Source organism: Homo sapiens, chromosome 9 (assembly GCF_000001405.40).
Source record: "Homo sapiens chromosome 9, GRCh38.p14 Primary Assembly".
NCBI classification, from domain to species: Eukaryota; Metazoa; Chordata; class Mammalia; order Primates; family Hominidae; genus Homo; species Homo sapiens.
The window spans coordinates 109234655-109261386 of record NC_000009.12 but is presented as its reverse complement, the minus strand read 5'-3'; the positions used below and the strand labels follow the sequence as shown (position 1 = coordinate 109261386).

The 26732-nt window shown below is 45.1% G+C and overlaps 1 protein-coding gene across 9 annotated transcripts in view; it reads left to right on the top strand.

Annotated features, from left to right (window-relative positions):
• EPB41L4B (erythrocyte membrane protein band 4.1 like 4B) overlaps positions 1-26732 on the top strand; it is a 149086-nt gene that overhangs the window by 59673 nt on the left and 62681 nt on the right. For 8 of the 9 annotated variants that reach the window (XM_017014815.2, XM_017014814.2, NM_019114.5 and 5 more), the window contains exons 7-15: positions 3090-3210; positions 4907-4994; positions 5163-5251; positions 5544-5613; positions 5707-5876; positions 7837-7946; positions 9876-9906; positions 13598-13631; positions 17705-17769. In XM_017014815.2, coding sequence (XP_016870304.1) covers positions 3090-3210; positions 4907-4994; positions 5163-5251; positions 5544-5613; positions 5707-5876; positions 7837-7946; positions 9876-9906; positions 13598-13631; positions 17705-17769 — 778 coding nt within the window. Of the gene's footprint in view, positions 1-3089; positions 3211-4906; positions 4995-5162; positions 5252-5543; positions 5614-5706; positions 5877-7836; positions 7947-9875; positions 9907-13597; positions 13632-17704; positions 17770-19577; positions 21661-26732 lie in introns of those variants that run through there. The other variant, NM_018424.3, reaches the window with a different exon arrangement.

The following is a 26732-nucleotide window of genomic DNA, read 5'->3' as shown; positions in this document are numbered from 1 at the left end:
TTGGCATATAGTAGATGCTTGGTAAGTGCAGAGTGAGTTGAATTATTGAAATTGGAGAGACCCCCCTCACCCCACCCCCGCCAAGAACTTTAAAGGCAGAACCTTTAAACTGGTGGTAGAGTTGATGGTAATGTCATCTATAGCCATCTGTGCCAAATACAGTGCTCAGTGCTTCCGATGTATTTTTCTGATATGACAGTCTTTATGGCAAGTGCTATAACGACAGGCATGGCTTGGAGAACATGGCCGTGGCCTCCGCACTCCGGCCACTCACCCACTTAGCAAGTGGCTTTCCTCTACCCCAGAGTTCCTGAGCTGCCAGAGGTCACACCATCAGGCTTGACAGCCCAGCAGTAGATGTCAGGGTGTCACGAATGAGACAAAAGAGACGGAAGGCCATTAATCCACTGGAAAGGTTTCCTCCTAAAGCCATTGGCACAATATTGCAAGCTTGTACGTTGTCCTGAAAGATCAGAGGATGAGGTGCACGTATTACCATCCCACCCCATTGCAATGAAGCCCTCACCACACTTAACAGAGTAGTGTAGAACCAAAACCTTGCCCCAGAGCCGAGACAGACACAAATAAGGTCAGTTCTCTGTGACCGTTCTTGGAGAAATTATCCTTTGAGCTGAAATCATAATGTCAGTGTGATTTTAAGATACAATTGTTGGCCGGGCGCGATGGCTCACCCCTGTAATCCCAGCACTTCGGGAGGCCGAGGCGGGTGGATTACCTGAGGTCCGGAGTTCAAGACCAGCCTGGCCAACATAGTAAAACTCCATCTCTACCAAAAATACAAAAATTAGCCAGGCATGGTGGTGGACATCTGTAATCCCAACTACTCAGGAGGCTGAAGCAGGAGAATTGCTTGAACCCGGGAGGCGGAGGTTGCAGTGAGCCAAGATTGCATTACTGCACTCCAGCCTGGGTGACAGAGCGAGACTCTGTCTCAAAAAAAAAAAAAAAAAAAAAAGATACAATTGATTGTTATGTCAGATAGAAATAAAAAGACTTGGCTGGGCATGGTGGCTCATGCCTGTAATCTCAGCACTTTGGGAGGCTGAGGTGGGCGGATCGCTTGGGCCCAGGAGTTTGAGACCAGCTTGGGCAACATGGCAAAACCCTGTCTCTACAAAAAATACAAAAATTAGCCAGGTATGGTGGCGCATACCTATAATCCCAGCTACAGACTGAGCTGGGAGGATCACCTGAGCCAGGGGAGGTTGAGGTTTGAGGTTGCAGAGAGCTGTGATCACGCCACTGCACTCCAGCCTAGGCAACTAAGACCCTTTCTCAAAAGAAAAGAAAAGAAAAACACTGAAGATTTAGACACAAGGCGAGGCTCTTGTTACATTGTCCCTCCGTGCCCCCTCTCCCCAACCCCATTCCATGAGTAAATGCTACAGTCTGCTTTCCACCTCACCCACAGCTGAGCTAGCTTGTCTGGGACTCTAAGGATCACTAGAGCATCTCTGTAGGTTTGAATAAAATGAAGGGTTGTGTTTCCTCCTGTGCTTGAGCCTTGAAGACATGTCTTGCTGTGGTTGTCCTCGATGCCTCCTGAGTTGTGATACAGTGGCCCTGCAGGGAGGCTGTGCTCTTTTGGGAACTAAATTTGTGGTGGATTTAAAAATTAAACCAGGTAAAAGGAAAAGAAGGGAGAACTAATAGGCCACTCATCTGTTGCATGCCTGTGCTCCTTTTTCATTCTTGTAACAATTCCCATTTTACAAATCAGGCACCGGAGACCCAGAGATGTTAAGTGACTTGCCTGCAGTCACATAGATAGATTATGATAGGGTTGGGATCCAAGTCCTCTTGTGTCTGAGCTGTTTCCACCACCCTCCACGGCCTCCTAGAGCTGAGGCCTGGCTGCAGAGATTGCAAATTGAGTGAAGTGTTAGTTGATGGGATCTGATGTGTGCAGCAGAGGTTCTTAAAGTGTTTTCCAGGGTCGCCACATTAGCATCACATGGGGACTTGTTAGAAAAGCCAGTTCTTAGGCCGGGTTCCAGACCTAGGGATTCAAAAACTCTGGGGGCGGGGCCCAGTGATGTGCATTTTAACCAGCTCACCAGGTGATTCTGATGCGCACCCAAATTCGAAAGCCACTATTATACCTCAGTGATTTTTCCAACAAATGGGCAGGCCTGTGACCTGGGCATCTTGTTAAAAGGCAGGTTTTGCTTGAATAGGTCTGGGGTGGGGTTTCAGGTTCTGCGTTTTGGGCAAGCTCCCAGGGGATGGCAGTACTATTGGTGTGTGGTCCACACTTGGTGTAGCCTAGTGTTAGAGGGAACTCTAGAGGATTCCTTTTCATTCTGGGGTCTGCTTCCTGAGCTGCAGGGGGTGGGGGAGAGTGGATTTTCTCATCATCCCTGGAGGAGGGGGCCACCTGTATCCTCAGGCCCTCCATCCTGTGGGGGACTTGGCAAGGGCAGCACAAATTGCAGCACAAATTGGGCTTCTTGCTCGGATCACTCGTGTGGCTGCTCCTCCCTCCTTTCTGCACAGCTGTCTCCCTCCCAGGTTCTGCCTGACTTCCCGCAGTTGCTCCTGCAGCCCTCGCACCCCTCCTCCCTGCCTCCCTCTCGCTCTGCCTCTCCCTCCCCTTCCTACTTTCCCCCTGGATGCTGCATGTGCCGAATTCTTGATCTATCCTCTCCAGCACTGCAGACCCTGAAGTGCTGCTCTGACCTACTCTTAACGAGAGGCTTGTTAAATGGATGTTTCTGGGCAGATCCTCATTCCCTGCAATTGCCTTTTATTGCAAATTCAGGGTTCTACCCCTTCGTGGGGAAAATGTAACTGGTGCTTCCCTGGGTGGGAACAACAGTGGAGAGAAAGACAGTAATAACTAGGATGATGCTGTATCACCCAACAGGGAGGACATTAGAATGCTTCTAGGATTTTGAGTGTACATATGACTACCCAAGTGAGAGTTAAGTCTTCCCGAAAGGAGAGAGTTATACATTGGGGCGGGGGGCTGTGCTTTATAATGATGCAAAATGCCTTTGGACCTGGTTGCAGCAATAACTGAAATCATTCAATGTCTCCTATTTTCCTCCCTTTTATGAAACTTACAGCGGAGCTTGGGGAGTGCGAGCTTCCAGAACACACACCAGAGCTTGTGTCTGAGTTTCGGTTCATTCCAAATCAGACAGAAGCAATGGAATTTGATATCTTCCAGAGATGGAAAGAGTGCAGGTACCTTGATGCAACCGTCTAGCATTCTGATGTATCTATTTTGTCATAAATAAGTGTTGATCACACTCCTTTATCTACCAGTAGAATTGTTCTGTTGATGGCCATAAAACTGCAGCGCCAACTCTTCTCTCCTTGTGTCAGTCCTGTTTTTCCAAAGGCCCACATCTTGTCCTTTTTATTTTTGAGAGAGTCTCGCTCTGTTGCCCAGGCCAGAGTGCAGTGGCACTATGTTGGCTCACTGAATCCTCGACCTCCCAATGCTCAAGCAATCCTCCTGCCTCAGCCTCCCGAGCAGCTGGGATTATAGGCGTATACCACCATGCCTGGCTCATTTTTCTATTTTTTGCAGAGATGAGGTTTCACCACGTTGCCTAGGCTGGTCTCAAACTCCTGAGCTCAAGTGATTGTCCCACCTCAGCCTCCCAAAGTGTTGGGATTACAGGCAGGAGCCACCACACCTGGCCGTCTGTCTCTTAAGAGATGTGCAGCAAGAACCAAACCACACTCCTTTTCTCTCTCTGCAAACAGAGCCTGGTTCTGATTTGTTTATTGCGGATGGGGGAGCCACCACTGTCTTAGTGACACCCCAGGGCATCCCAGGCACTCTCACATACCTGCATCTCTGGGACCTCAGGGCCTGAACCTTCTGAAACAAGCCCTAAATTTAGAAATATACCCTGTTGTATAGGAACATACATATTTGAGACCGTGTGCTGTACAGTGTTACATTTCAGGAAGTGTGATCATCATACCTAAATCCAGCAGTGTCATTTATCCCCTTTGTTTTTTCCCTCCATTCCCCCTGCAGGCACCACTTTCATGCCTGGACTACCAACGCCACCCCTCACTCACGGGTTTCCTAGATGTTAACCTTTCCTCCCTCCCATCCCATCTTCCCCAAACACTGCCTCCTCCAGGTCACCCTTGGACTCTGGAGCTTAGCATGACTTTCTCTTATCCCTCAGTCATTCTGAAAAGCTCCTGTGACTATTTTAGTGGAAGGTGGCATTAGTCCATTCTCATTGTGTAACACTGAAACAACGTAAATGTCTGCGGGTATGGCACACCCCACCCACACACTTACACATCCACTCTCCTCCCTGCAGGAAGCCATCATTGGCAGCCTGTAGTCTTTTCCTTTTGCATTTACATATACAACTTGTTTTGTTGTTTCCTTAAGTGATCATATTGTAAGCACTGTTCTGTGATTTTGTTGTTGTTGTTGTTGAGATGGAGTTTCAGTCTTGTTGCCCAGGCTGGAGTGCAATGGCACGATCTTGGATCTTGGCTCACTGCAACCTCCGCCTCCCAGGTTTAAGTGATTCTCCTTCCTCAGCCTCCCAAGTAGCTGGGATTACAGGCATGTGCCACCACGCCCAGCGAATTCTGTATTTTTAGCAGAGATGGGGTTTCACCATGTTAGTCAGGCTGGTCTCGAACTCCTGACCTCAAGTGATCCACCAACCTTGGCCTCCCAAAGTGCTGGGATAACAGGCGTGAGTCACTGCGCCCAGCCTGTTCTGTGGTCTTTCTAGTCAATTAACAGTAAGGTCTTGGGAATCTTTTTGTATTACTATAATTTGGCATCCCTCATTGCTTTAATTGCTGCATAACGTTCCATAGTAAGGCCGTGCCCTTCAGAATCCTGTGGGCTTACGAGTCGCAGTTTACATGTATTTCCATTGGTTTTTCTAAGGGGAAAGAGCCCTGCCCAGGCGGAACTCTCCTATCTGAATAAAGCGAAGTGGCTGGAAATGTATGGGGTAGACATGCACGTTGTCAGGGTAAGAACTGTGTGCGTTTAAGTAATTTGGTTTTGCTGTTACTGAAAAATGTATGAACATTATGCAAACAAAATAACTTGTGGTGAGGAAACTGTTTTTGCATTTTGCATTCTGCTGTGTGACGACCTGTTAGAACCCTCTACCGATTGTCACTTCGTTTGTTTGTAGGGAAGAGATGGCTGTGAATATTCTCTTGGACTGACCCCGACAGGCATATTAATCTTTGAAGGAGCTAACAAAATAGGCTTATTCTTTTGGTAATTTAGTTTTGTCTAATATTAAAAATGTCTTTTCCTATTTTGTGGTGGAATTCTATGTGATGGATGATTATTGAGGGGTATCTGCAACACCCAGATTCATCCTCAGAGCACACGGTGCTGCTGTTGTGGGTCTGTGGCAGTTGCGCTGAAACTTCTGGATAATCACACTTGGATGAATGTTTTTATTTTTTTTTTAGTCTAAGCTTTAAAAGTAGAAAGGAAACTGCTATTTGATGTGTAGATAGTTTTACTGCAGATTGTGCTTTTAAAATGCTTTCTGTCTGACTAGGCCTAAAATTACCAAAATGGATTTTAAAAAGAGCAAATTGACACTCGTGGTGGTCGAGGATGATGATCAGGTAGGCCTGGCTCCCATTTCTTCCCCCTTGCTGTGAAAATCCTGTGTTGGGGTTGCAAACGCCCACTCGAGGCCCTTGTGCTTCCTCTTTAAGGGACGTGAGCAAGAGCACACGTTTGTGTTCCGGTTAGACAGTGCCAGGACCTGCAAACACCTTTGGAAGTGTGCAGTTGAGCACCACGCATTCTTCCGACTGCGGACGCCAGGAAACAGCAAATCCAATAGATCCGACTTTATCAGGCTGGGCTCTCGCTTCAGATTCAGGTAGGGAGCCATTTCTGCAACACGGATCACGTCTTCTGAAGGAGGGCAACTGTGATTTCTTTCTTGTATGCGAATAGAGTAGTGGATTTGAGTCCAGAAACTTAGGTTGTGTGTCCCATCCCCACGTTTCTTAAGGTGAGTAACTGAAGCTCTTTTGACCCCCACCTGGTCATTGATAAAATGGAACTAATAACAAAATTGTTAATAACTGACATTTAGTCAGAGCTGTGCTGTTCAATACAGTAGGCACTAGCCACACGTGGCAATTTAAGTTAATGAATATGAAATAAATTTTACAATGTAATTCTTCAGTATCGCTAGTCATATTTCAAGCGGCCAAGAAGCCACATGTGGCTAGTGGCTACCATATTAGACAATATAGACACAGGACACAGGATCATTTTGGAAAGTTCTGTTGGCCAGCACTGTGCCAGAACTGTTCACACACCCTTAATAAGGTAGGTTGATTAACCCCATTTTACAGATAAGGAAACCAGGGCCAGAGGCATTACGCTTAAAATCACACACAGCCAGTAAGTGGTAGAGCGGAGATTCAACCCTGTGAACTCTGGCTGTTAAATTTCTAACTGCTACTGTATTGCCTTTTGCATGCCAATGTCCAGAAATTTGGGGTAATTAAGAATGAGAGCAGATATCAATGTGTAACCCAAGGTAGGATGAGTAGATATTTGAATCTGAAAAGAGCCTGAAAACATCAAGAGCTTATTCTGATATATTTTTGCTTATCATCCTAAGACCATTTTTCTCAAAGTGTGTGAAAACTTTCTTGGTGTTTGTTAAAAATGAGGACAACAACCTCATCTGAGACCTTTGCAGTCAGAATCTGTGGGTATGCATGTGTGTGTATGTGTAAGGCCTGGCAGTACGCATTTAAAATGTGCTCCCAGGGTTTTTGAGGCCTATTTACATTTGAGAATCTCAGTTACGATATCTAAAACTTCACATGGTTTCATAACCTCTACCCACACATGGCACATCCCTGAACTCTATTTAAATGCCAAAAGATTTGCTCATTTCAAATGTTTCTACTGTGTGAGGAAATAGCTATGAACTTCTGTTTAAAGAATTATTTTGTTTTAAATGCTCCAAGGGGTCGGGGGCGGGGTGGGGGGAAGACCAAGCTCTTTTTGAGAAACAATCAAATCCCAGGGTCCTGTGGAGGATGCAGAGGTTACCGGAGACACTCCACAGAATGCTGGTGTCTACTCGGAGTGGAGTGAGGCGGGAAGGACAGTCAGGGCAGTTGCCAAGGCAGGCTTTTCTCTCCTGGGAGGAAACTGCCCCAGGCTTAGTCCCAGACCATGTTCCTTTCTGCTCCTCTGGAAGTGTAAGAAGGAAGGGAGTTTGGAGGAGAAGAGGTTGCCCTTAGAGGCACACAGAGCAGGTGACAAATGGTGACTAAGAGCAACTGGAATGAAGCAGTTGAGGAGTACATCAGACGAAACCAGCAACCTCCTGGAATCTGCAGCCGGGTGTCACGTTGGTTGAAACCCAAAAAGCCTTAGTGAAATCAGTAATGTTTGCCTTGGCATAGCAAAGAAAGCTGAGACCTAGTTAAGTGGGTATTGATAACAGTCTTCTAAAAGATGGGTTAAATGTCTATGCAGTGTGTTCTGTGAAAGGTTATTTTATGTGAAAATCAATGTTCTCTTAATGAGATGTATCAAACCTGCTTGGTTTGTGCAGCCAAGTGGCTGGTACCTAAATTGCAGGTTTTGCCCTTTGGTGGAAATATCTGCCCCTGGACTGTAGCCTGGACTTGGCAAAGGAGATTTTATTTCCAAATGGAAGGTTAAACTTTGTGTTTCTTTACCCAAGTGAGTTCAGGCTAAGTTGAAACGTACGTTGGAGCTCTTGGAAATAAAAGTGCACTTTCAAAAACAGGTAATGTACTGAGATTCTGATATTGATAACACACGAGAAAATATTTACTTCCCAGTGGGCGGACAGAATATCAAGCTACACATGGCTCCAGGTTACGAAGAACCAGCACCTTTGAGAGGAAGCCTAGTAAACGTTATCCATCCCGGAGACATTCAACGTTCAAAGGTTGTGTGTTTTTCATTCTTTCTTGGAATTTTACATTATGCTTGAGTCATTTAAGCCCTCGAGGAGCTTGGTCAAGCAGCTTATGAAGAAAGTACCCGCAGTTCTCCAGTCTGGAGCTTTTGGAAAAATAATCCCAGTGGTGTTCTTTTAACGGGACCTGGCCACTTCCGCCATCCCTCTGTCATTAGTGTTTGCCGTGGATGTGTTCATTTATTTCTCCCCTTTCTCCATATTTCTTTCCATGTGCCTCTTTGCTTCTTTTAGACCTGGGCTCAAGCCCCGGTACCTCAGGAATATCACAGGGAAACACCTTTCTTGCCTATAGAAGATACTGTATCTCCATCATCTTGCAATTTTAAGTGTGGACATCAGGCCCATGCTAACTGGAATTCTGACCACGTACAAGTACATGAAGAACTTTTAGATATTCGGCTCAAGTCCCACAGTCAGTCCAAACTTTCCTCACCCTTAAATTTAGCCAGGCCCTAGAATGCCTGCCCCCTTCCCCTTTCCAAACCCCTTCAACCTTGTCCATCAGTTACAGCTGGGGCCTCATACCTGTATGAGGCCCGGAACACAGTACAACTCAGTCAGTGAATGAGCAAGCCAGGCTCATTTCTGTTGGATCCCAGCCTCCAGATCCCATCTTGTAGCTCTTCTTTCTCTACACTAGGTTGCTCCCCGACTTAGGACGCCCAGTTTGTACTCAGTGTTTGCTCTTTTATGGCAGAGCCTCTGCACTCCCAGCCTCCTGGCCCCTTCTGTACATGATTTCCTTGTGGCCACTCCATGCATTTTTCTTGGCTCAGGACTTAGTGGGCCTCCATGGGACTTGGTACCTCTACTTGTTCCCTTCTGGAATCTGTAACTTTGTGTTCCCCACCATTCTTTCCTTTATGAACCGATGGTGCAACAGCATGACTACCTGAAATTCTTAGTCACTCCCAGCTGCTTTAGTGGAGGGAAAATGCCCACAGCACAGGAAATAGTCCTGCCCTTCGAGAGAGGCCAGGGGATGGGAGCGTGTCCAGAGAAGGGCGATGGGTTGATGAAGGGTGGCCACAGCGCCCGGGAGGAAGGGGCCAGAACGCTCTCTGTTCTGTTCCATGAGGAGGATTATGCTGGTGTGTGTAGTCCACTGGTTCAGAGTTGTCCAGAAATAGCTCAGTGTAAGGAACAATTTTCCAAAGATCAAAAGAGCTGTCTCAAGATAGCAGTGCGTTCCCAGCCCCTACAGGTGTATACAGCACAAAGGGAGGGACCCCCTGGTGTGGCTGTCACAGAGGGAAGTGGACGTCCTGTGGTTTGACCCCACCAGATGGCTTTAGAGATCTGGGCCCCAGGGTCTGTGATTCTTTTCCCCCTCCCTCTTTTCTCTCCCTTATTTCACTGACTTTTTTCCAGCCAGAGTTCTAGCATCTTCTTTGTCAAGCTTTTAATGATTTTCCCTGCCACATCTATCCTTTTAAAAACAAAATGGAGTGTAAGCGGCTAAGCTGTACCTCATTCCCAGGGCTCTGTCCATGCAGGCCCTCACGGCGTCCCCGAGGCCCCTCAGTCCAGACCCATGCTTATATTGCATCCCTGATCACCGTGTGCTGTTTTCCCTTTTACCCACTTCTCTGTATCTGCCTTTCTCTGTCTCTAGACAGGGAACTTCTTGAGAGCAGAGACTGTGTCTCTTTGTCCCTGCCTCCCAGAGCGCCCAGCCCTGGGAACCTGCTGAGTGGATGGTTGCTGAGTGAATCAGAGGGAGGGGTAGTTTACTCTCCCTGAGGAAAGGAGAAGTAGCCACCATGCAGTTCTGCCTGGGTTGGAGTTGGAAAGGCTCTGTGATGGTAGAAGTCTCGCATGGCCATTATCTGTCATTGCATGGTGAAAGCGATAAAGTTCTCTAAGATGTCATAACTTTCTGTTTTTCCTTTATAGCAAGCAACCCAGTGATAGCAGCCCAGCTCTGGTGAGTGTCCTTGAGCTCTAGAGCACAGCTCTCCTCTCTAAGGATCGTATTTATTTGCAATGTTGACTTTTTCCTTACTACAGTGAAATCAGGAAGTGTGTCATCTGGTAATTTTTTTCCCCTTTTTCTGCTGCCTGGCTATTCCATGCTCATGGCTTTCAATAAGTACACAATATAATGTTCCAAGACAGTTTGGTTTTTTTGGCAAACACAGCTGCTTTGTTTGAGTAGCTGTGTGCTTTGTTTATGATAACAGTGGGTGGGAAAGGTAGAGGCCTGTGCGCAGCACACTGTGCTCATGGCGTGGCAGGCAGTGCTGGGAGAGGAAGGCCTTGCTCGCGAGCAAAAGCTGGACGAGAGCAGATGCTAGATTTGCTCAGTGACGTGCAGGTTTTACATCATAGAAGACATTAAACACCTTTACTGAAATTCCTGCAGGAAAATGAACTTATCACAAGAGTGAAAATTGCCAGCACAGGATTCAGCAAACATTTTCTGTAAAGGGCCACATAGTCCATGTTTGAGACTTTGCAGGCTCTGCTGTGTCTTTCACAGCTACTCACCTCTGCTGTTGTAGCTAGAGAGCCGCTGTGGAAAATATGTAAATGAGCGAACGTGACTGCATTCCAATAAAACTTTACTTATAAATATCAGTGGACCAGATTTGGCCCAAGGGGTATAGTTTTTGCAGGCCTCTTCCCTGGCACAGGTGTCCAGGGTCTTGCCTGTATAGTAGAATGATCTGGTGAGCATAATTATCTGAAACATCCTCCGCAGCCACACCCCAGGCGCATTGAATCAGTCTCTCAGGGTGGGACCCATATAGCTTGTTTTTAAAGCTGCCCAGGTGAGTCTGCCCGGCATATACCGCTCTTGCTCTCTCTGAAACAACTGCCTGTCTTATGTGAGTTTTGGCTTGTTGAGTAGACAAGCTGTCATGTGAGAGAACCACAGACTTGCATTGTTTGGACCTTTGGTCTGAACTGCAGCCGCTGGTAGGTAGGCCAGGTTCATTAGGCTCTCAGTCATCCCAGGCGCAGGTCTCAAGGCGGCTGAGAGGGTGGTCTTTGAGATGGGCACAGCTTGACTGTGCCATGCACTATCAGTCAGGACAGTTGGCAAAACGTGGCACGGGGTGGAGCGGGTTGCAGATACCCCGGTGAGCGAGGAGAGCCCTGGCTGAGGCATCAGGAACCCTCCCTCCAGGTACCAGCTGTGTTCTAACCCAGCTCTGGAGACTTAGGCCTTCCTACTTCTGGGCCTCCGTTTTCTTTTTTGCAAATCAGGAGGTTGGGCTAGATCAGTGTTTTTCCAAACTCTTTTACCCTCTGATTTTCACCCTCTAGAAGAAACCTGATGTCAAAGCCCAAAATACAGAACAGACAAATGTGGAGGTCCTCCGGATGAAGCCGAGTGGGGAGGGAGAGGCCAGTTCCTGCCTGCTCTTCTGCCACTCCTCCCACCCCGTAGCTCCAGGGCACCTTCAAGGAACCCAGGGTTCTAGAGAACACAGCTGGTCCCTCATATTACACAGCTGGAAACTCAACCTCGCATCTCTGATTCCAAATCCTACTTTCAGCGTCATTCTGCCTTTTGTCTCTGGGTTTTGTTCTCAGCATCTGATGAAGGGGCTCAGGGGTCCTGTTGAACTGCTCTGTGTCGCCCCCTGCCCCGGAGGGTGGGAGGAGGTTGCAGTATTCTGGATGGGTTAGTTGTAGGTCCCTAGATTCACCCCATTTTTAGGATCCTTCTGGCAGATAGTATGCCAAATGGTATCTGTACCTTTCTTAGCTTGTCGGGGTGTCTTGCTTTTAATTCTCTGGGGCTTGTAAGTTACAGCCCCAATTTCTTTACTTTGCTCTCTAAGGTAGTGATTGTTTTGCTTGTTTCTCCCTAATAAAATTACATTTTCCTCCCAGCATCTAGTGGAGATTATATATTGGGAACCAAAACAAACTAAAAAAAAAAAAAAAATTCTGCCCAAAAAAAAAAGCCCTGATAAATATACCCTTTAGGAACAAATGAGCTAATAACTGCTGTTCGCAGCTGTTCAATTGCTCTTCACAGCCTGTGGGATCCCAGGGTGAGTAGGATTGCTGTGGGAGCCGTGGATGAAATTGTGCTCTGGGCTCCAGAGGTACTACTAGAAAAATAGCACCTTGCGGAACGCTTAACTTACCTGATGAAGTCCAGCCAGAGGTGATCTGGTTCAGAGCCTAGCTCTGTGTACTGGTCCTCCCTGAAAACCAGAACACAGAGCCATTTAGACCCCAAGCAAGACTTATAACAATGATCTGTTTGCCTCTCAGTGTTGGAGAAGCCAGCAATAACACTTGATTTCAAGCACACCTCCTGGCAATAATGATTGCCTGCTCTGTCCATATATATACATATATATATATATATATTTTTTTTTTTTTTTGAGATGGAGTCTCGCTCTGTCGCCCAGGCTAGAGTGCAGTGGCGCAGTCTCGGCTCACTGCCAGCTCTGCCTCCCGGGTTCACGCCGTTCTCCTGCCTCAGCCTCCCGAGTAGCTGGGACTACAGGTGCCCGCCACCACGCCCGGCTAATTTTTTGTATTTTTAGTAGAGACGAGGTTCCACCGTATTAGCCAGGATGGTCTCGATCTCCTGACCTCGTGATCAACCCTCCTCAGCCTCCCAAAGTGCTGGGATTACAGGTGTGAGCTACCACGCCCGGCCTATATATATATATTTAGCATTTAAGATCTCATCAGCCAAGCACAGTGGCTCATGCCTATAATCCCAACACTTTGGGAGGTTGAGGCTGGAGGATTGCTTGAGCCCAGGAGTTCAGGACCAGCCCGGGCAACATGTGAGATCTCATCTCTTAAAACAAACAAAAAGATTCCATCGAAATAGGATCATGATGAGGAGCCCTGAGCCTTTTCTCAGTCCCTCTAAGAGCCAAGTTGGTTTAGCAGAAAGAAGACAGGCTTTAGGATTCTGCAGATGTTGATTCTAGCCCTGGCTCCCACTGACCAGCCAGGCGACCCTGAGCAGGTTTCCCAACTCTCTGTTAGGCAACTGTTCCTTTATCTGTAAAACGAGGTGGTCACATTTGTTGACCTCATAGCCTTGTCGTGTGGATTAAATAATAACAGATGTGAAGTTCCCAGTACAGAGTCTTGTCTGGAGAGAACATTCCAAAGTGGTGGCCAGATTATTGACAGTGGTTTTAATAGCAAGGGGACCCACATGTGGCTCCCACCACAGTACCCAGTGGGAGATGCTCAGGAGGGATCGGTGCCTCCCCCTGCCGTGGGAAGAGGCTCTGCGCATCACTGGAGCTTCTGGTGCCGGTGCTGTGAGGTCTCCCAGCAATGCCAGGGCAGGCCTGAAATGGGAGTAAAATTACTTGGTTTGCCCAACTGAAACAGGACCTCATTTTTGTCACCAAAATATGACATTGAGACTGCATTCTGGAATATTTCCTACTGTTTCTGTTTGTGAGCTCTAAAAGGACAAGTGAAAGTTGCTGTCTGGGGTTTTCCTTGTTATATGTTCATTTTAAACAGCCAATAACCAAAAAAAAGTCATTATGTGGAAGTTCCTATTAGAGTATGTAGCACATAGGAATAGTTCATGATTGTTAAATAAATCATTAATAATGCCACTCTACAACCTATTTTTCTTTTTTTTTCTGTTTTTTGTTTGTTTGTTTGTTTAGCTCTAAAACAAATCCAGAAGTCCATAATTACCAGGTAAGATACTGCTTTTAAAGGTTTTCTTTAAAGAAGGAAAATTTTAAAAATAAAATTTAAAAAAAGGTTTTTGTAAAGTTTCTAAATTTTCCATAATGAGCAGTCATCATATTTGTAATCAGATTTTGAGAAAATAATAACAATATTTGTTTTTTTGAGAAAATGGTAAGAGAAGAGCCCTTTCCTTCTGACCCCTGCCACTTCTTGGCCATCTGAACTGCCTGTTTTTCTTAACCTTGTCAACTGGCAAGCATCAGGGACATATGTTTAAGTTTCTGGGTGGCCACACACAGCCCCTTAGTGGCATTCAAGTGAGGCAGCTTTTGGTCAAAGTGTGTTTTAGGCCTAGGGAACATGAGTCCCTTGAGATGGGCTTCCAGGAAAGGATGTTTTGGTCAAATGTTTGGGAAATGTCACATCTTTCATTCCCCTTCTTGGATTTTACAGTGTCCACTGAGGTATAAAAGTACTGAGAAATCCTGCAAGAAAGACATGTTTTATTTTTTTAAATGTATTGTTTCCCCAAATTATTTGCGAATTGCTCCCCTCTCACGCCCCTGATTAAAAAAAAAAAAAAAAAAACTAGTCTTGAGCTGGCACGGTGGTGTACATCTGTAGTGCCAGCTATTTGGGGGAGCTAAGGCGAGAGGATCACTTGAGCCCAGGAATTCAAGGCTGCAGTGAGCTATTATCATGAATACCACTGCACTTCAGCCCAGACGACACAGTGGGAACTCATCTATTTAAAAAGACAAACACTAGCCTCAGCCCCTTCATATCTTTTTTAAAAAAACGCTAGCCTCAACCCCTACCATTTTTTGGTAGTGGTGAACTCATTAACACGAATAGATACATGGTTTCTAGAACCTGCTTTGTAAAGCACTGTGCTAGGTGATGTGCTAGGCCCATTGCCTGCAGGAAGGAGCACAGGTACGTTTCTATGGCTGGCGTCTTGCTGTTTCTCAGGACGGCCAACCAGGGCCTGTGCCGCCTGCCAGCTCACCCATGCCTGGTAACATGGAAGGTGTGGTTTACAGCTCAGCCTGGATCAAGCACATTCTTCCTAAGCCACTGTGGGTGGCTCTCTCTCTGGCCATTCACAGCCTTGTACCACCTGGTTCCAACTTCTCTATTTATTTCTCACCACTCCCATCACGCTCCATATGTTCAACTCACAGGGAATTGCATAATTGTTGCCCCATAATTTCTTCCCACCATTCTTTGCCCGTGTTTGTCTGCCTGGAATTCCTTTGCTTCCTATCAGTATATTAAAGTATCTCTCAAAGACCAACTCAGAGTTGGCCACAGTGGCTCATGCGTGTAATCCCAGCACGTTGGGAAGCCAAGGCAAGAGGATCACTTGAGCCCAAGAATTCAAGACCGGTCTGGGCAACATAGTGAGACCCCATCTCTATTTTTAAATAATCCTGGGTTCAAGTGATTCTCTTGCCTCAGCCTCCCAAGTATCTGGGGTTATAGGTGTATGCCACCACGCCCGGCTAATTTTTACATTTTTAATAGAGACAAAGTTTCACCATGTTGGCCACGCTGGTCTCAAACTCCTGACCTCAAGTGATCTGCTCGCCTCAGCCTCCCAAAGTGCTGGGTTTACAGGTGTGAGCCACCGTGCCCGGCCAGGGTTCTTGAATCTTGTTATTCACTGATTGTTTTTTGTTAAGGGGTTTTCAGGTGTGAGTAACTGAAAAGTTGTAGAGACAGGTAATTGATAGGTGATCAGTGCTTGAAGGAGAGAAAAATTTTAGAAAAGCAAAGCAGCTGAGCACTGCCTGTGCCCTCTCCGCATAGCCTGTAGTGTGTTCTCACTGTGCGTTTTCTGCTTAGAGTGAACATGAGGCGATTGTTGAAATCAGATCTACTGAAACTCATCTAGGCATTGTTATCGCAACATCATTGGCAACCACGGGTCCTTTGGACCTTGCCAATCTTAGAGGTCTTGTGTTCTATCAAGGGTTGGGAATAAATTGACCGGGAAGAGAACGTCCTGAGAAGTGGCCTGATTGGCATGTGAATACCGTGAAGGGTATTTGAGAGGATGGTGTTGCAGCATTTATCTTATTTCAAGCACTGCAAGGTCAGCCAGCTGCAAAGGATGGATCTCTGTGTTCTCAATGAGGACGCTGTTGGCATTTGGGGAGGGAGAGTTCTTCATTGTTTGGGACTGTCCCTGGAATTGCAGGATGATTAGCTTCCCTTTTCTCTCTTACTATGACAAGCAAACATGCACACAGTCATTTCCCATTGTCCTCCAAGGGATATGAGTGTACCAGTTGAGAACCAGCTGGGTTAACACTAAAATACTCCTTGACAGTTGAGAATGTGAATAAATTGCCAGAGGAGACCAAGGAAGTTTCCAAAATCTTTTTCCAGGTCTGTGGCTAAGGTTCCCACCTCTCTCTCTGATGAATCTGATTTGGTTGTGTTTAAAGCCAGAGGAAAACATAGAGGGTCCAGTTCTAGGTCAGCCTTTCTCTATTGTTGAACAGCCAATGAATGGAACCTCATTCTGGGCCTGTCTATGTGATCAAAACACCTGGAACAGTTAGACTCTGGGCAAATCATCTAAACTCTGTGGGTTTCTGTAGCCCCTAAAGGAGAAATATGCAGAGATTGCAGCAGGGAGATGCTAAAGCCCTGGTCAGCTCCCAGATCCTGCTACTGAGGTATTTTCTCCAGATTCCTTTTCCTGCAGCATGTCCTTCCGGGGGCTGCAGAGTCTGCTTGCTGACAGGCGTCTTTGAAGGAGAAAGGAAAGGCTGCTTGAATACAGAACAGGCAGGGAGGGCATCTCAGGTCCATGAAAATGGAACGAACAGAACTGCTGAGATTCTCTGTGCCAGAGAGCAGGCCACTGCTTACTAAGCAAAGTATCCTGAGAAGGAGGGGAAGAAATAATTAAAAGAGTAACAGTGGCAAGACTGTAGTGACTTAAATGTCAGGAGGGCCTAATTTGCCCCTTAGGAGATTGAGCCTTGAGAAGCCCCTGACTTCTGCTGATGTCTAGGACCACTGCCCTCTGCAGGCCAGAAGTGGAAAGGCAGGCTGCTACCTAGCCGGCTAGGGCTGCACCTCAGTCCGTTTGTGAGTACAGGGTCTGTGTTCTCTTCTTAAAATGGACAACTTCCTTCAAAATTAGCGGGGTGTGGTGGCACGTGCCTGTAATCCCAGCTACCCAGGAGACTGAGGCAGGAGAATCGCTTGAACCCAGGAGGTAGAGGTTGCCAAGATACTGCCATTGCACTCCAGCCTGGGTGACAGAGTGAGACTCTGTAAAAAAAAAAAAAAAAAAAAAAAAAAAAAAAAGACAACCTTCAACCTCCTTCCTTCTCTTCTTTCTCTTTCTTCCTTCCCTTCCCTTCTTTTTCTTTCTTCTCTCTTTCCCTACCTGCCTTCCTTCCCTCCCTCCCCTCATCCCTTCTTCTCAAACTCTCTCCCTCCCTCCTGTTTTATCAGGATGATAAGCGCTCTGGATGGTTTTGTTTGTTTTGGTATTTTGTTTTGGATTGCATTTTAGAAGATTATTTTTATTGCATAAACCAGAGAGAAAGAAAAAACCTTCACCCACGGCCCTGCTGCTTCACTTAGCATCCCTGTCCAGTCCTTGTCTGTGTGCAGATGTAACTGTTCCACATGGTCATTGTCATTTTCAGCAATGACAAAAATTGTTTCTGAAGAGAGAAGTTGCCTCCCACTCTCCCCATCTCTCTGACACCTTCCGCCTCTTCCCTTGGGAAGATGAATACAGCTTGTCTCTGGTACTCCGGACGACCCCCTTCAAGGCCGGTGTTGTCACCTTCTAAGGGCAGCTTCCCAGCCCCTTCACAGGGAGCCGCCTCTGGAGAGGGCAAGAACCGGCACTGGGTGCCAGCCCCCAGCCTTTGTCAGAGGGGGAAACGTGATCGTCCTGGGAAACATCCACCCCCTAGCCAGGGTCTATAGCCTTTCCATTCTTAGTCCCCCAGCCCCTCGGGTGGATGCCAGGAACAGACAAAGCGAATGAGGACCATTGAAATTAAAAGGTCATCAAATAATCAAGTTTGGTGTTTTATTTCTAGCCTCAATATCATCCTAATATCCATCCCAGCCAGCCCCGGTGGCATCCTCACTCTCCAAATGTCAGGTAAGTGCTGGTGCTTCCAGAGCTGCACCTTCGAAAGCTTTCCTTTCTCTAGAAAAGTTCAGATTCTGCTTAGTTAGGAGTAGAAAGTCTGCATCAGAAATAACCCTTAAGGGATGCATTGTCATGGCCGAGATGAATAAATTTTCAAAGCAAAGGTAGCCAGTGATGTGTGTGGATGTATCAAAGGTATGCTTTGTGAAATAAAAAATGAATTGATTTTTTAAAATCATTCTGATCTCATATATTCTTGGTTTTTAGTTTTGTGTTCAAGATGTTACTGAAAATTTCTAAGTAACATTTTTCTGTCCTGAGAATTTGTTTACTTTAAATGTGATGAAAGCTTGGGGATTTTGTTGTCATGGGGTTTTTTTTTTTTTAAGGATTTTTTTTTTTTTTTTTTTTTTTGCGGGGGTGGGCTGGGGGAATGAGTTTGCTTTTTGTGGCAATAGATATTTTTTCCCTAAACTGAGGGGTCAATAAACTTTTTCTGTAAAGGATCAGACAGTCAATATATTCTGCTTTGTGGTCGCTGTCACAACTCCTTAACTCTGCCATTGTACTTTGAAAACAGCCCTAGACAATCCATAAATGAGAGGCTATGGCTGTGCTTCAATGAAACTGATTTAGAAAAACAGTGGGATTGGGCCGAGGGCTGCCATTTACCAACCTTGGCCCCAACCTACCATAATCCTTTCTAAGCCAACTGGCATCTGCTGGACTGTGTTTATAGTTAGGCTTGACAGGTTTTTTGTTTTTTTTTTTTTTTTTTTAAGGCTAGCTTTGTGAAAGCAAATGTTCCTTTTAAGATTTGAATTTTAGATCAGTCTTAATTGGTGTTTATGTGTGAAGCTATTTCAGAAACATAGTTGGCAAGTTCAGTTTGCATAAAGGTGAGGTTGCTAGCCTTTCTCTGAGAAAGTATGGAGAATAAAATGCTGGAAATAAACCCACTTAGAGCAAGGCCAAAAAAAAGTTTGTTGGGGAATTTTGTAACCCCAAAGCGTGATTGTTTATAAACACTTGGTAGTCACTTAACTTTTTAAAGCAGATTAGGTTAGTGGAGTAATAATTCTAAATCTTACTGTATTTCAAAGGTGCTTTATTCTTCAGACGTAAGAAACAGAAGAGATTTCTAGAAACGCTATTTTAATTAACATTGTTTTTACAAAAGTTTGTGCTTATCATTGCCTGTTTTATCATGTTAGTTTCCTTCTGAGGCATGGCCTAGAAGCAGGCCTTCTGAGGAAAGCCGTAAACAGTGCCTCTCTGGGGTGGGCCTGCTGTTGGCAGCTTTAGTGTCATCTGGAAGCTTGTTTAATGCAAATTCTCAGCCCCACCCCAGACCTACTGGATCAGAATCTATGGGGTGGGGCCCAACATTTTGTGTATTTTCAAGCTCTACAAAGATACCCCATGAAAACAGAGTTTGTTAGTCCAACACTTTTGGCAAATGCTGCCTGAGGCATTCATGGTGCATGCTGGCATGCCTCCAAGCAGCCCTGTAGTAATGGAACATTTTCCACCTTCACTTAGCTTTCTCCAGACGGACTTGACCCATGAGACACCCTTTGAGAAATGATGACTTGACCATAGACAGACCCTTGCTCTGCTTGGAAGTTCATAGGTGATCTGCATCTGAATTTTTAAAATTCTTACTAGGAAATCCATTCATTTCCATTCATAGCCATCCCCATTCACATGGCTCATGGTTCCCCCTGCCCCATTTCCTTTGTGCTTGTGTTGTTTCACTTACATTTCTGCATTTTCTTCCATTCTCCCACTAACCATTCGCTCTGCAAACAAAACAGGCCATCCTTTCAGGATGACAGGTCGCATTGGAAAGCATCGGCCAGTGGAGATGACAGCCATTTTGATTATGTCCACGACCAGAACCAGAAGAACTTAGGAGGGATGCAAAGTATGATGTATCGAGATAAACTCATGACTGCACTTTGAGAGACTGAAGCATCTCTCTTCCATTCACCTTCATAGTTTCATTGCATTCCATGAAAAGTGTCTTGGCCTCAGATGGATGGATGTGTTTGGACGAGTGTCTTTAAGGAGTAGTCCTGAAAGGTGTTTTTGGTGTCCATGTAAATATTTGAAGATAAAACCACTATAGCTTGTCATAATTTACTGTTGACTGCATTCTCATTAAAATGAAGGTAAAGGCTCAGGAATCATATTGATGTTCTGATTTTAAAATTGGAGTCAAAGTCTATGTTTATCATTTTACTATGTTCCTGATGTTCTTTGTTATTTAATTAATGGGAGCAAATAAAACCAGAAGAGCTTGGGAAGATTGCTCAGCATATATTCCTGTCGTAGAAGTTGAGATTGCTAGGGTCCAGTTTCCCTAGTGTGGCCTGGACGAGTCATTTCCCCTTCATTGACCTCATTTTCCCCATCTGAAAAGAGAGGGTTGGACTAAGTGATCTCCAAGGTCCTTTCCAACTCTAAAATTCTGCAATTTGTTAACATTTCATTTTGTTTAGGTTGAGGACATACATTCAAACTAATTTTATCACAAGGAAAACTGCAATACCCACTTCCTTGACAGAGTTACTCCTTTCAGAAGCTAAATAAAGTATATAACTTATTAGATGTTATATAGATACAGGGGGACTTTGAATTTCACATCTTAAAGCAGTTGAGCTACTTTGAATTTAAGCAGTCGTACTAATCTTAAATTGCATAGCATTTGTTTTGATCGAATTTGCTGCTCAAGTATGGGAATAATTTTTAATGTCTTAATGATTGGTGCTGCTAACTTGCGTGATTTCAGAAGACATAATTGTGAATACACACTGTCAGAATTGGGGGATTGGTTTTTACCCTAGACTTCACTCTTAAAAAGCAACGTGCAATCAAGATCATTTATGGCTCAAATGAAAGCATATAAGGTTTTCTTGAAGTTGTGCCAAAGCATTCTGTAGAGTAGGATGAGATGGTTGTTGCCCTAGTCTGTTGGTAGAACCAGAAATCAATATGTTGTCTTTTAGGTTAAAGCTTGTACCAAAATATTTATTTCCCCCATTTCAAGCCCTGAGTCAAACATTTTTTTCTCTTAATAATAGACCTGAAATGTTTTATTAGTATTTCTGTGAAATCAGTTGATTCTTGTGCCATTTTTGTATATGTAATTGTAATTTTGCCCATGTTAGGCCCTCTAAAAAATGTTTGACATCCTTTGAGATATTTTATTACTAAAATCTGATCTTTTTTGGCTACTGCAAAAATCTATTCAGCAAGAAGGTATCAGCTGCATACCTTGCACAGTGGAGCTGACTACCTATAAACTCTCCCTAAGGCATTTGTTTACAGGTGTATTCCATTTTAGCAGACGTTCTGATGCTCAGTGTATGTGCTGCATACAAATAAATGTGTTCTGAATCTTTTCATCTTATTGATAGCATTTTTACAAATGTGTTTCCAAGGAATAAAGATTATTCTTGCTTTTTTTTTGACTCCATCTTCATTTTTTTTAAATTGATTCTTGTTGCTATGCAGAAGTCTCATTTGTGAATGACCTTGGTAACAGAACAGTTGGCTTTTGGAAGTCTGAAGGTGAGCATTCAGTTAGGTGGGTGGAGCAAGATCATCCTAGAATGAGGCTGCTCTTGGCAAGAGTGGATCTTATAGGCACAGCAGCTGATGCCTTTCTTCATCTGGGGCAACTCTGGTGAAGGTTGTCCTGCCTGTCACAGGTGCTGAGTAGAGAGAAGTGGTGGCAGTGGGATTTCCTCAGTAATAGTCCTGTAAAGGTACGTGTTTGTCCTGGCTACTTGTGCTCTTCCTGGCAGGAAGGCATCCAAACCCTTATCTGTGGGCTCCTGGAAATTGTGTATGCCATATAATACCCTCTAATAAATACCTCTCTGCTTAAAGTAACTTGAGTGGTTTCAGTTGTCTGCAACCAAGAAGCCTCACCAGTATGCATACTTATGATATCCTGATTGTTAAATGAAGTGTACACTTTTCATTCCTTAACTTAGTGGACCTTTCTCTACAGCAGTTGACCAGTTCAGTCTTAACAGCCTCCTTTTCTGCCATCCTATTACCTGTTGGTGTTTTCTAAAGGTCTTTCTTCTGCTCACTGCTCTTTTCACCACAGTCTACCCAAGTCTTCTCATTCTGTCATGATTTTATCATGCTGTTGACTCTGAAACCATCCTCTGTAACCCAGACTGTCCTGTGAACTTTTGGACTGACATTTCAACTTGGGTATCCTGTGTACACGTCAAACTCCACCTATCAAAAATCAAATCGATCATCTTTTACCCTCCTCCCACAAAACTTTTCTTCTGCCTGAATTCCCTTTTTTACCCACAGTAAGAATGTATACATCATCTACAACTCTTCTCCCTGTCGCCACCCATATCCAAACAGTACCTAGGTCTGTTCACCTCTGCCTTGGTATTCATACTTGGGCTTTCTTCTCTCTTCTTACTGGCATGGATCCCATAGGAGCATCTTTTCTCTGGCTCAGAGGTGCCCTTCCTGATCTCCCTGACTCCAGTTGCTCCTGACAAGCTCATGCTCCTCCCAGTCACTAGAGTGATCTTTCTAAAACACAGTCGGCCTGTGCCATTGCAGTGCTTGCCATTACCCTGAGGATGAAGTCCAAGGGCCTCTCAGTGGAATTCCCCACTCCGTGTCTCCATCCTCTTGCTCTAGCATATATCCACCATTTCTCACCCTACTGTTGAAAATCCTTCAATGCCAAATTGCTTGTGGTTCCTGGCATGTGCCACACCCTGCTGTTACTCACATCTGTGCCTTTGCAAATACTGTTCTTTCTGCCTAGAATTCTGTCACTCCCATCCCTTCCCCTAACTCCTGCTCAATGTCTGCCTCTGCCCAGACATCTTCTCCCAGGGACTCTTGACGGCCCCACCTCTGCAAATTGGGTTAATTTCTGTGTTCCAGTAATAACCCCCTCCCTTTCTACCCCCATCTATAGCAACGTTGCACTTACAGCTTTGTATTAAAATGGGCTCTTTTGTTTATCTCATCCTGAAACCTGTACACTGCATCAATCTGAGCTTTGTGTCTTACTTGCCTTTGTTCCCCAGCACCTGACAGATAGCAGGTGCTCAGTGAATGTCTGCTCAGCAAATGGATTATTCCACATTCATTTGAAAGGAGATGTCTAACCAGATAACAGGCAATAATACATCATCTCTGGGCTGGTCTGAAGGTATCTGAACAACCTTATCCAGTATGGGGGCATCATACTGTGAGTAGGACACTGACCACCATGTGACTTCTAGATTCAGTTTCATCATCTGAATATTACTCAGTGTGTCAGCTGTGTTCTCGTTTGAGGCATTGGTATCATGCTGTACAGGGCAGAAGAAAGTCCAGCCACGTGACATTGGAAACCCCGGTAGGTAGACATTGATCTGCGCTAATATATAGGGGCTAGTCATCTAATGCTAGGCTTTGCATGTGTCACTTCATTTCCTGACCACTCTGTGAGATGGGTAGTATCCTGTTTTTCATAGATAGGGAAGCTCAGGCTTAGAGTTTAACCAAGCAGCCTGTATTCCAGAGCCTATGGTCTCAACCACAGTGGTCTCTTGCCTCTCACCCTTCATCCCACCATTTGCAACCGTGGGGATCCATATCTCCATGAGACTGCTAGATGATGTTGAACAGTTCACTCCACTGAAATCTAATTGCTAACCAGAGAGCCATCCACTCCCTCCAGCCATCTAGTAACCCCTGTCCATCTGCATTACCACCACACCAGTAGGTAGCTAACTGTCCATACAGCCCCCACCAGTGTGGCCTGGTAACCATGTTCCCTCCACCATCACCACTACCAGTCATAACTGTCCATATCTCCCACTCACACACACCAGGGCTGGTAACCTTGTTCATCTCCATCACCTGTGATCTAATAACGCTGTTTACTGTCTTCTCCCCAAACACACCCCCTCCAGTGGTCTAGTAACCCTCTCCACACCTTACCACCCCTCCCCCAGTCTAAAAATCCTGTCCCCACAGGCATCATTCAGCAGTAGTCCCGCAGAGATTGGACATTATTCTTAATGAACCACTGCTTATTTGAGACGGTCCACTCTATGGCTTCCTTCCAAAGAGTTCACAAATGAACAATGTCTTCTGGAATATTACTTGACAGTAAAACCACACTCACTATTCCATAACTAATGGAATTAACTTTTACATTTTGGAACTCGGGTATGTACTGGTTTATCATCTATTCATGTTTCTGTGGTCCCTCAGAACATCCAACAGTGTATTGACAGTTGTCATTTGATTGATGTAATTCATGCCAGAAGTCTCTAAATCCTGCCAGGTAATTAATTACCTTGGTCTTCAAAACCCTTTTGCCTATTTCGTTTATTGGTCTACCATTTCTGTTGAAGATGGTTCTCCTTAACCACAAAGATGGAGGAATAAGGACAGTGTGGTAATTCCTCTCAGTCCTTCTTGCCTGTTAATATTGCACCATCCTTCCAGGTCAGCGACTCCAGCCTCCTGGGTCCCGCTCTGAACACAAGTAATGACAGAGTCTTTTTGTTGCCCTTGACTTTACAGCTTTTAACTAGTCCTTTAAAATCTGAGCTCATTAAAGAACTCCCTGAACAGCCATATTGATCCCTTCGGATCAGTATTTCCCAAACTTAAGAGTTGTAAATCAATTCCCTGGCTGACCAAGTCTTCCAAACGTACCAGGAAAATACCCTACATTGGTCTAGGATGATTTGCTTCCACTCTCTTGCTACAGGAGGCGGTGGACAGATGCAGAGGCGAAGCATAAGGGGGCGGAGAGAAAAAGCAAGTCACTGTTAAAGGTCCCTTGCACATGAGAAATGGCACATTGTAAGAAACCCTGGGGATATCAAAAAGACAAACATGTAAAATGGACATTCAGCTAAGCCTTAGCAAAAGAAATCCTCAATAGTTCTGCAAATAGGCCCACTTCTGCCAAAATTAGGGAGCTAAAGAATGGCTTGGACAACTTACTAAAAATGTGGATTGTGGCATTCTAAATGGTCAGTGGTAAGACCCAAGATCCTGCATTTTAGCAGCCCAGGACAGCCTGAGGTGGGCAGTCCAGGTTTGCTTTTCACTTTTGGAAAGCAAAGCTACTTATCTGCTTGTGTTCATCGTTATTTTAATGCCTCAATTTTAACTCTCAGTAGAGGTCAACTCTTTTTTTTTTTTTTAAATAGGCATAATGTTAAGTCAATGGATGGACACATCATAATAAGTAACTAGATCTGTCTGCTCAGCAAAGCTATGCACTTCCTTAGGCCCAAGGTGAAGCAGAAAAATGCGAGCATTCTAGTGGTTCTTTATATGGCTTTAATTTCATCATTAACTGGCCCCCTGCAATCTATCAAACCAAGTGTGTGTTCTGCCCTCCCTTCCCACTTCAGAAGCAAGGGACTAGGGAATTCCAGCTGTTGGAGAAGGACTGGGCGTGTGTATACACCAGTCTAAGCACCTGGGCTAAGACTGGAGCCCATGATTGGGAAACAGATGGAAGTTTGCAGAAGTAAAATGGCAAGACATTGCCAGCCAGATGAGAGAAGGATTAAAGGGTCCACAGTGTGGTGGTCTGGTTTTGTCAAGGGACAAGAGCCCCATAGTTCTCTGATTAGGTGAAGTGTGGAAGCTTTGGAATCTCACACGATTTGAATCCCAGCTTTGCCACTTACTAGCCATGGGACCTTTGGCCAATTTCTTCTGGACACCTCATTTTCCTCATCCCCAGATGGAATTTACCAGTATCTCACTGATAAGAGAATTATCAATAAATGACATTATATACAAAAGATGTTTTGCGCAGTGTTTGATGCTAGATGGTAAGAATTTTTAGTGGTTCGTAAGGTCGTAGCTGTCCATGTGGACAGAAACAGGCCAAAGAGATTCAAAATAGCTCAAGGCCGGGCGTGGTGAATCATACCTGTAATCCCAGCATTTTGGGAGGCCAAGGCAGGTGGATCATTCAAGGTCAGGAGTTCGTGACCAGCCTGGCCAACATGGTGAAACCCTGTCTCCACTAAAAATGCAAAAACTAGCCGGGCGTGGTGGTGTGTGCCTGTGTAGTCCCAGCTACTTGGGAGACTGAGGCAGAAGAATGGCTTGAACCAGGGAGGCAGAGGTTGCAGTGAGCCAAGATCACGCCATTGCACTCCAGCCTGGGTGACAGTGTGAGACTCTATCTAAAAAAAAAAAAAAAAAAAAAAAAGTCTAGCTGAAGAAATGGTATTTCTAATAGATTGATGGTTTGAGATGTATATTCTAAGTTTACAAAGGGAAAGGGGTGTTTGGTTCCAAAGGACAGATCAGATGTAAGAGCATTAACACATATATAAAGACATGTCTCTTTGAAACTAACAAACTCAGAGCAGAAACACCATGGGGATCTTTTGAGGAAAGAAAAAAGAAATAGAAATGATATTTCTGTCCGAGAATACTAGGAAATAACTGTCCAGGCAGAATGTGGACAATGCTTTCCCATCTGCACATGGCAGAATTGGCATAGAGTAAAGAATTGGTGAGATGGCTGAGAGTCCATTCTGCTGCTACGATTGGGACTCAGAGGCTTGGAGAATTGAAACAGAGCGTCTGCTCCATTCCCACCTTGTCTAATTTGGGATTTCATCTTAGACGAATTGGAGGAAGATTTTAACTATCAGGAGACTGAGTGGAAAGTTAGTAACAAAAGGGAACCACTGTGCTTTGTTGCCATTTTGTTGTTGTTTTTGTTTGTTTGTTTTTGAGACACGGTCTGTCTCTGTCACCCAGGCTGGAGTGCAGTGGTGCAATCATGGCCCACTGCAGCCTCCACCTCCGGGGCTCAAGTGATCCTCTCACTTCAGCCTCCTGAGTAGCTGGCATGCACCACCATGCTTTGCTAAATTTTTAAAAAATTTTTGTAGAGATGGGGTCTTGCCATGTTGCACAGGCTGGTGTGAACTCCT